This window comes from Homo sapiens, chromosome 16 (genome assembly GCF_000001405.40).
Source record: "Homo sapiens chromosome 16, GRCh38.p14 Primary Assembly".
In the NCBI taxonomy this organism is placed as follows: domain Eukaryota; kingdom Metazoa; phylum Chordata; class Mammalia; order Primates; family Hominidae; genus Homo; species Homo sapiens.
In genome coordinates this window covers 55,712,463-55,723,081 of record NC_000016.10, presented here as the reverse complement: position 1 = coordinate 55,723,081, position 10,619 = coordinate 55,712,463, and the positions used below count along the sequence as shown (strand labels likewise).

At 40.4% G+C, this 10,619-nt stretch overlaps 1 long non-coding RNA gene across 4 annotated transcripts; it reads left to right on the top strand.

Moving 5' to 3' along the window:
• The first annotated feature begins 1,245 nt into the window (after positions 1-1,245).
• On the top strand, positions 1,246-8,816 carry LOC105371280 (uncharacterized). Of its 4 annotated transcripts, none has more exons than XR_933607.1 (4): positions 1,504-1,633; positions 5,023-5,351; positions 7,844-7,978; positions 8,504-8,816. It is a non-coding gene; the product is annotated as an uncharacterized LOC105371280 (long non-coding RNA). The 4 variants fall into 4 exon arrangements; XR_933606.1 differs by having other exon boundaries at positions 8,436-8,816; XR_933605.1 differs by lacking the exon at positions 1,504-1,633 and adding an exon at positions 1,246-1,397 and having other exon boundaries at positions 7,844-8,816.
• The last annotated feature ends 1,803 nt before the right edge of the window (positions 8,817-10,619 follow it).

Below are 10,619 nucleotides of genomic sequence, written 5' to 3'. Positions count from 1 at the left end.
GATGTGCCGCTGCATTTGGTTTCCTGGTATTTTGTTGAGGATTTTTGTGTCTATGTTCATCAGGGATATTAGCCAGAAGTTTTTTTTTTTCATTGTGACTCTTCCAGATTTTGGCATTAGGCTGATGCTGGCTTCATAGAATGAGTTAGAGAGGAGTCCCTCCTCTTGGATTTTCTTGGAATAGTTTCAGTAGAATTGGTCTCAGTTCTTCTTTGTACATGTGGTAGAATTTGGCTGTGAATTAATCTGATCCAGGACTTTTTTTGATTGGTAGGGTTTTTTTGTTGTTGTTGTAACTGATTCAATTTCAGAGTTCCATATTAGTCTCTTCAGGATTTCAATCTCTTCCTGATTCAATCTTAGGAGATTATTTCCAGGAATTTATTTATTTTCTCCAGATTTTCTAATTTGTGCACATAGAGTTATTCATAATATTATCTGAGGATCTTTTATATTTCTGTGGGATCAGGTGTAACATCATTTTTGTCATTTCTGATTGTGCTTATTTGGATCTTCTTTGATTTTGTTAATCTAGTTAGGGGCCTATTGATCTGGTTTATTTTTACTAATAACCAACTTGTAGTTTTATTGATCATTTGTATGGATTTTTGCAACTCAGTGTCAAATTCTTCTCTAATTTTAGTTTTCTTTTGCTAGCTTTGGGGTTGGTTTGTTCTCTTTTTCTAGTTCCTTTAGGTGCAAACTTACATTGTTAATTTGAGATCTTTCTAACTTCTTGATGAAGGCATTTCATGCTCTAAACTTTCCTCTTAACACTGCTTTAGCTGCATCCCAGAGATTTTGGTAAGTTGCATCCCTATTTTCAATAATTTCAAAGAATTTTTTGATTTATGCCTTAAATTTGATATTCACCCAGGAGTTATTCAGGAGTAAGTTGTTTAATTTCCATGTATTTATGCAGTTTTGAGAGATGTTCTTGATAATATTTTTATGTTTATTGCACTGTGTTCCGAGAGTGTGCTTGGTATGATTTCAACTTTACAAAAAAAATTTTAACACTTGCTTTATGACTGAGCGTGTAGTTAATCTTAGAATATGTTCTGTGTGGTCAGGTGTGGTGGCTCATACCTGTAATCCCAGCACTTTGGGAGACCAAGGCAGGCAGATCTTTTGAGGTCAGGAGTTTGAGACCAGCCTGGCCAGTGTGGTGAAACCCGGTCTCTAGTAAAAATACAAACAACAACAACAACAAACAAACAAACAAACAAACAAAAAAACAAAATTAGCCAGCCGTGATGATGGGTGTCATAATCCCAGAGATACTCAGGAGGCTGAGGCAGAAGAATCACTTGAACCTGGGAAGCGGAGGTTGCAGTGAGCCAAGATCGCACCATTGCACTCCAGCCTGGACGACAACAGCGGAACTCTGTGTGCAGGTGAGAAGAGTATTTGTTCTGCCATTGTTTGGTGGAGTGTTCTATAGATGTCTATTAGGTCTAACTGGCCAAGAGTCAAGTTTAAGTCTAGAGTTTCTTCGTTTGTTTTCTGCCTCAATGATCTGTCTAATGCTGTCAGTGGAATGTTGAAGACTCCCACTCTTATTGTGTGGTTATCTAAGTCTTTTTGTAGTCCAAGAAGAATTGTTTCATGAATTGGGGTGCTCCAATGTTGGGTGTGTATATATTTAGGATAGTTAATTTTTCTTGTTGAAGTGTACATTTTAGCATAACGTAATACCCTTCTTTGTCCTTCTTAATAGAAATCGGTTTAACATCTATTTTATCTGACATAAAAATAGTGACTGGTTCTTTTTAGTTTTCCATTTGCATGGTAGATATTTCTCCATCCCTTTACTTTGAACCTGTGGGTGTCATTACATGTGAGATGAGTCTCTTGAAGACAGCAGATGGTTGGGTCTTGTCTTTTTATCTGGCTTGCCACTCTATATCTTTTAAGTGGAGGCATTTAGCCCATTTACATTCAGGGTTAGAATAGGTATATGAGATTTTGAGCCTGTGACTGTGTTGCTAGCTTGTTGTTATGTAGACTTGGTTGTGTAGTTGCTTTATAGTACCTGCGGGCTATATTCTTAGTGTGTTTTTGTGGTAACAAGTATCACTCTTTTGATTCCATGTTTAGCACTCCCTTAATGACCTCTTGTAAGGCTGGTTTAGTTGAAACAATGTCCCTCAGCATTTGCTTATCTGAGAAGGATTTTATTTCTACTTCACTTATGAAGCTTAGTTTGAAGGAATATGAATTCTTGGTTGAAATTTCTTTCCTTTAAGGACACTAAAAATAGACCCCCAATATCTTCTGAGGTGTAAGATTTCTGCTGATAGGTCTGCTGCTAGCCTGATGGGGTTCTCTCTGTATGTGACTTGACCCTTCTCTCTAGCTGCCTTTAAGATTTTTTCTTTTGGGTTGATGTTCGTGAATCTGATGACTATGTTCCTTGAGGATGGTCATGTTGTATAGCATCTAGCGAGTTCTCTGTATTTCCCGAATTTGCATGTTAACCTCTCTAGTGAGATTAGAGAAACTTTCATGGACTATATCCCCACATATATTTTGCAAGGTTGCTTATTCTCTTTTTTTCTCTCAGGAATGCCAATGAATTGCAGATTTGGTCTCTTTACATACTTCTTGGAAGTTTTGTTCATTGAAGATTTTAATTAGGAAACAAAGCTTAGCAGGAGAGGAGAGCCAGAGAAGTGACAGGGAAGCTACAGGTTACGACAGATTTGTGAACTCAGCCAAGCACAGTGGTGGCAGGGCCTAGCTGCTACAAAGAAGACATGTTTTAGACAAATACTCATGTGTATGGGCAAAAAACTCAAGGACTGTATTTGTGACTAATTGTATAACAGGTTATTTTAGTTTCTGTTCTGTGGAAAGTGTAAAGCATTCCAACAAAGGGTTTTAATGTAGATTTTTTTTTTGCACCCATGCTGTTGATTGCTAAATGTAATAGTCTGATCGTGATGCTGAATAAATGTCTTTTTTTTTAATGTGCTGTGTAAAGTTAGTCTACTCTGAAGCCATCTTGGTAAATTTCCCCAACAGTGTGAAGTTAGAATTCCTTCAGGGTGATGCCAGGTTCTATTTGGAATTTATATACAACCTGCTTGGGTGGAGAAGCCATTGTCTTTGGAAACCTTGGTGTAGTTGAACTGATAGTTACTGTTGTGACCTGAAGTTCACCATTAAAAGGGATTACCCAAGCAAAATCATGGAATGGTTATAAAAGTGATTGTTGGCACATCCTATGCAATATATCTAAATTGAATAATGGTACCAGATAAAATTATAGATGGGAATGAAGCTTGTGTATCATCCATTATCACGTGTAATCAATAAACGATTTAATTCTCTTGAAAATAAAATTTTTTTAACTTTCGTCTGACTGTGTCGATGTGAAGTACTGGCCTTTGAGCTCTGAGATTCTTTCCTCATCTTGGTCTATTCTGTTGATAATACTTTTAATTATATTATAGAATTATTGTAGTGAATTTTTTAGCTCTGGAAGTTCAGTTTGGTTCTTTGTTAAAACGGCTATTTTGTCTTTCAGGTCTTGGATTGTTTTACTGGATTCCTTGGGTTAGGTTTCAACTTTCTCCTAAATCTTGATGAGCTTTCTTGCCATCTGCATTCTGAGTTCTATGCCTGTCATTTCAGTCTGGTTAAGAGCCATTCCTGGAAATCTAGTGGACTCATTTGGAGGTAAGGGGACACTCTGGCTTTTTGAGTTGCCAGAGTTCTTGCACCGATTCTTTCTCATCTGGGAGGGTTTGTGTTCATTTTACTGTGGTGTAAGTTGAGTATTGTCAGTTGGCTTCTGGGTGTTTTCAGAAGGTCAAGGTTCTGTTCAGGGTCTTTATTTGTGGCTAAATTCTTGCCCTTGGTTTCACAGGATGGCATAATATCAAAATATTTTTGATGTTATAGTTTAGGCTATGATCCACTAGATCTTAAAAGATACAGAGTGGCTTAAGGGTAATGGGCAGTAGATAGGCTCTTAGCAGCATGGCTTCTCTGTATTTCCTTTCATTTGCAGCCATACTCTGCATTGCAGTGGAGGAGAAAGGTAACCCCCTTACCAGGTACACTCCTGGACCTTGGAGGAAGCCCCTCCTATCACTGGTGCTGTGCCTGTGTTTCTTTTGTTGGATGTTCCAGACTGCAGGGGTCCCTGGCTGAGGCCAGGGCCCTAATATGTGTTTCTTATGATGTCACAGCCCATCCCTCTGGGTCACTCTGGCCAGAAACCCTTTACAGCATACAATATAGAACTCAAAAAAATACTGGTGCATTACTAGAATCCCATTCCATCATTAATAATTAGTCTCACTTCATCGCTATATTGTATGAAAATGTCTCCCAGGGAGAGAGCACTTGGGCTGGTAGCCTTGTTGGAGAGATCTTGCTGGGTTCCAAAAGCAAGACTGGACTCTGCAAACATACAGCTTTAGCCTTTTAGGCATCTGTATAATGGAGCTAAGAGACAATATCATCACTTGCTCTGAGCCTCTTTTGAGATGTTAATATATATTGGATTTCCGTCATCACACAACCCATTTATTCATTCCTTTGCCCTTAGCTACTCTTCCTCCTTCTCCCCATTTTTGCCTAAACTTTCCATCTTTCGGAAGGTACATTAGTTTTGGCCACTGTGCTGGTCCAGATTGCAGGCAGCAATGCTAGTCTAGCAAGTGCCTCCCACTTAGTCCACTCCCATTCAGATAGGGTAAAGTTACACAGGTGCAGAACTAGTGGGGTGTTTCTACCACCTGGTAAAATATAAATGCATTTACTATGAACCCCAATTTTTACAGATGGGATCAGAGCACAATCTGCCCCATCAGGCCCTTAGGAATTTACACATTTTTGTTGTCGTTGGAATCAGCCCTGGTTCTATAACCACTGCATCAGATAAGAAAAAGAAAAAAAAAGTTGATATAGTGTGAAGAAGATAAAAAAATAGTCATAGTATCAGCATATTCTTTCCCTACTAAGAATTGCATAGTCACACCAGCATTCTCCCCATCTCTTCTTTCCCAGATCCACCAGGAAAACAGAGGAGTCTATCTAGTGGGGGCACTTCTTCATCTCCTCCTGCTGAGTGTGAGCATACACTTGTGAAGATGTGCAAGCCAGCCTTTCATGCATTTATCTCCCTCCATTTCAGACAACCAATGTTTTAGTTGTCTGTTCCAATTTTCTATCAAACTATTATTCTGAGGAGGAGATCTCTCTGCCCATTGTTGGACATTATAGGCTATATTGCGTATTTCTTGGCCTGAAGAAATGTGAATCTGCCATCCAAATTGGTGCAATATCTTCTATTCCACTTCTTTTATGGCATTCTGAGTATTTGCATCTTCCACCAGGTAAGCAAAACCCAGTCTAGAGACAGCATCTATTCTGGTCAAGACCCCTTTTTAGCACCCCCATGCCAGGGCTACCACCATCAGTCTCACTTGCCAGCTATGTTCAGGGCCTTCCCACCAGGGTCTGCCACATAGCCCTCTGGAACCTCTGTCTCCTGCTGGCAAACAGAACAGTTCTTATTGGCATTTTGTGCCTCAGAGGATGCAAAAGGAATATGCCTAGATTCATTCCAGCTGCGTGGCTGCCCTACCCCAGTGTCAGTTCATTTCATGGAACCAGGTGTCCACCTTAAGCAAGCACACAGGGACATCTATTTGCCAATTCCAACTACCTTTCAAATCTGGAAAGCGATTCTTCTGAAGGGCATTGACATGTCCTACTTTAATGCACCCCTCAAATTCCCGTAGGACTGTGCCCCCTGTGAGCAACCTTTTACTAGGCCAGGTTTCCATTACCCTCTTGCCTGAGTGTGTAGCCAGGCCACTGGCCCCAACATGGGGGCTTTTCCCACTGTTCAATTCTTCCATCATGCTAGGTAAACAGCATGCAATTCAACCCATTGAGCTGATTTGTTTTTGCTTTCTTCAAACAAAGTGGTGGCCTTCCAAACAGGATGTTCGTTCACCTTGGAATTGCTGTCCACAGAACAAGCAGCTCTTAGTGCTCAGTTAAGAATGGTTTATAGGGCACTGTACAACTAATATAATTCAGAAGCTCCTCACACAGCTCTGGAATCAGTCCTAGGGTGAAAGAGACTCTCTGTTTGTGAGTGTCTCCTCCTTGCACTCCTAGATAGCATGATCCTGTATAAACCATTTCCACTGAATTCTATTTCCATTGAACTCATTTTCATGGAATACCTCTGAACACTGCCTTCCCCCTAACCCCAGTAGAGTGTTTCTCTGACATCACCCAAGATATCATGGGTATTTCAGGATTTAAGATCGTTTTATGTCCTTCAGTCACTGAGGTAGCTTCAATTAATGTCCAATCACAAGGTAATAATTGACCCTCAGGTGGAAATTCTCTAGTTCAAAGTCCCAGTGTTCATCACTGGGAGGCACTCACAGGCTTTTGCCATAAGTCCCGGTTTATGTCCCCTCCCCCCGCCCCCGCCCCGCCAGGACTATCACGCTGAGAATTTGTTCCTACCAGTGCTCCAGCTTCCAGTCTACACTGTCTGCCCTCAGACAATCTTACTGGTTCTCATTTAGTGTGTTCAATTAATATTGCTTGGAGGTTGGATATATATGCCTTCTGTTTTACAGTACTAGGTAGGGGAAACATTCCCCAGTCAGATACAATGTCTAGTCCCATAATACAATCATGTAAAGGAGATGCAAGCACTTCACATAAAGCCTGCCCAAACATATTAGTTTTCATCCAAATGTTCACCTTAATTCCCTCAACTCTTCTATTCCTAACTATAGTCTCCATTAGGACTATATCAACAGATTTCAGTTTTATAATACTAGGTAAGGGAAGTGTTCTCCAGCCAGACAATATCCATTCCCACAAAACACTCAGGCAAAGGAGACACTGCTTTCTTACATAAAGCCTGTTCAAATATTCCAACTTTCATAACCCTATCAGCCTTTACAATTATATATTCTGTATACAATTCTGTATATAGCCCACACTGGGGCTTCACCACAGCACATAGGGGCTTTGGTATCAAGGAGCCCTGGAGTTTCTCTTCTCCAACTCCTGACCATTTCACCCACTCATGTGCACAAAGCTTGGGTTTCCAGCAAGGTGTTTAGCAAAGGGACCTTGGCCCTTTTGTCAGTTGATTAACCTGCCTAATCATAGCCCCAAGCAATTTTTGGTCGGGTTTCTCATTGTAATCTTTCCTTTCTGGCTTTTAGGGTAAATAGATCAGACTTCTTTGGGGGCCTTTAATGTTGGGGTAGCTTTGGCCTGCCCAACCTTTTGTATTGTTTTATTAAAACCTTTGTTTTAGGAACACAAAGTCAAACAAAGCTTGGTCTCACTCATCCTGAGAAGCTTTAAAAAGTTGATCTCATAAAAGAAAAAACTAGAACAGAGGATGCTAGAGGCTGGGAAGGGTAGGGAAAGGCAAAGATAGTGAGAAATTTGTTAAGGGAGACAAAATTACAGTTAAATAAGAGGAATACATTCTAATGTTCTATAGCACTTTAGAATGACTATAGTTAACAATAATGTACTATGCAGTTCCAAATAGCTAGGAGAATACTGAATATTCCCAACACAAAGAAATATTAAATGTTTGAGATGATAGCTATTCTAATTACCCTGATCTGATCACTGTACATTATGTGTAGTGAAACATCACTACGTGCCCCCATAAGTATGTACAATTATTAGGTTGGTGCAAAAGTAATTGTGGTTTTGGATTGTGAATTTTAAATCATTATAACTAGGCTCAAACACACTTATTAATCAAAATAAAAACCATTACAATTAATACATTTTTGCCAATGAGAAATAAGTTTGTTTATTCCTGTAGCGTAAAAATCCATACTTCGGGATTCGATGAACTCTTGGAAAGCATTTTCTGCATCCTGCTGTTTGTGGAAGCATTTTCTCCGCAAAAAGTTGTCAAGATCCTTGAAGAAATGGTAGACAATTGGCTAGAGGTCAGGTAAATATGGCGGATGAGGCAAAACTTCATAGCCCAATTCATTCAACTTTTGAAGTGTTGGTTGTGCGATGTGCAGTTGGTTGTTGTGGAGAATTGGACCCTTTCTGTTGACCAATGCTGGTCGCAGGCATTGCAGTTTTCAGTGCATCTCATCGATTTGCTGAGCATACTTCTCAGATATAATGGTTTCACTGGGATTCAGAAAACAGTAGTGGATCAGACTGGCAGCAGATCACCAAACAGTGACCATGACCTTTTGTTTTTTGGTGCAAGTTTGGCTTTGTGAAGTGCTTTGGAGCTTCTTCTAAGTCCAACCACTGACCTAGTTGTCACCAGTTGCCGTATAAAATCCACTTTTCATCACATGTCACAATCCAGTTGAGAAATTGTTCATTGTTGTTGCATAGAATAAGAGAAGATGACACTTCAAAAATACTTTTTTTAAATTTTTGCTCAGCTCATTAAGAACCCACTTATTGAGGTTTTTCACCTTTCCAATTTGCATCAAACGCCGAACGATCATAGAATGGTCAAGTTGAGTTCTTCAGCAACTTCTCCCGTAGCTGTAAGAGGATCAGCTTCGATGATTGTTCTCAATTGGTCAGTGTTAACTTCTGATGGCTGGTCACTACACTCCTGGTCTTCAAGGTTCATGTCTCCTTTGCAAAACTTCTTGAACCACCACTGCACCGTATGTTCATTAGCAGTTCCTGGGCCAAATGTGTTGTTGATGTTGTGAGTTGTCTCCACTGCTTTACAACCCATTTTCAACTAAAAAAAAATCATTCAAATTTGCTTTTTGTCTAACATTATTTCCATAGCCTAAAATAAATATGAAATAAACAGCAAGTAATAAGTCATTAGCAAAAAAATTAAAGCGAAATATGTGCATTAAAATCATGTATAGCATAACCACATTTATTTAAGGATGTATTCCAATATCAAACAGCACATTTCAACAGTACAAAAACTGCAATTACATTTGAAAGAACCTAATACTATATGTCAATTAAAAGTTAAATTTGAACTTAAAAAAATAAAATATTTGTTTTAAACCCACCCTTTGCCTCCCACCTGGGCTGGTGTAAGATTCCTAATTGGTCTCTCTATCACTACTCTCCACACTACAGAGGCAGAGTGAGCCATCTGAATGGCCACAATTGTTTTCACCTCTCTATATATCAGCTTTTACATGTGGTTTCAAAATAATGTATGGCAGACGTGACGGTGCCTGAGCCAGTTCTCAGCCAAGGCCTTAAGAGGCCTTACTCATGTCCACTCACTCCCTTGAACCCACATGATTTCCCTGGGGAATGAGACACTGCATGGAAGGAAAACATCCCAGGGGAGGCGATCTAAGACCAGCCAGTTTCCAACTGGCCTGCCAGCTACAGACACATGAGGAAACCCAATCAAGATGCGGAGCTTGGTCAGTATCTGCAGAACTTCCTAGATGGGCCACAGATTTACGAGTTAAATACATGGTTGTCTTTATAAGTTTGGGGGTAGTTCGCTACACCACAATCGTTCACTAATGCACCATCTACACCCAATTATGATTATATCATTCCACCCATCTAAAACCCTTGGCTCCCTTTTGCCTTCTGGAAAAAGTTCCACTGCCTTATCTCAGCACAGGATGTCTCCATATTCTGAATTTTATGCTCTTCTACAGCCCCTCTGCTTGGACCCTGCAAATTTCTGTAGATATTGTACTCTCTGCTACTGATTCATGCCTCTGTGCTGCCACTTTCACTGTTCTCATGACCTGGAATTTCCCTAAGACGCAACTCTAGCACCACCTGCTATGGGGAGCCCTCTCTGATCTCCCCACATGGGGCTCTGTGCATGATTTCTCTGCTAGGTTATGAGATGACCTTGTCTCATTCATCTCTATAAACCCAACCATCCCCTTAAGGCTTACATGTGCCAGATCCTTGTCTAAGCACCAGGCATACAAATATGAATAAGCAGTTATTGCCTCCTGTCTCAAAATTTGCTGGTCCCCTGAAAGATCATTTAAATAAATGTGGCAAACGTGGTGATGGATAGGTTAGGAAAGGCATTTTTTAGGGTCTGATATCTTGAGTGACAAACAGAAGTTATTCAGGTTCAGAGAGATGAAAGAGGGGGAAGAGCCTAAGGCTGAGGCTCAGGGAGACAGGGTGTGCTTGGATTATGTGCAGCTAGTGTAGGGTGATGGTGCAGAGAGGTGGGGTGAGATGAAGACAGAGAGGCTGAAGACTTGAATTTACCTTGAAGGAAATGAGGAGCCACTAAAGGGCTTTCCATGAGCATGCAATAGGTGCTCAATAAATGTTTCGTTATCAACACACAATCCCTCTCCCCATTAGACTGAGAGCTCCTCCCGGGCAGGAATATTCCTTCTCTGTTTTCCATTGTTCTTTCCTGGAACATAGTGGGACCATGTATGATTCTGATCAATGAATAAACGAATGAACGAATGAGTGCAACCAAGATATGATAGTAACAAAACAAGATGGATCTTTTCATTTATTCAAAACTGCTTTTCACTCCCCTGGTTCCAGAGAGTGTTGAGGATTCAGACAGGCTCTGAGAAGGGTCTGGGTTCAGCCTCTGCTTAGCAGCAGAAGTGTGTGTTGGTGCCACCTGGTGGTCG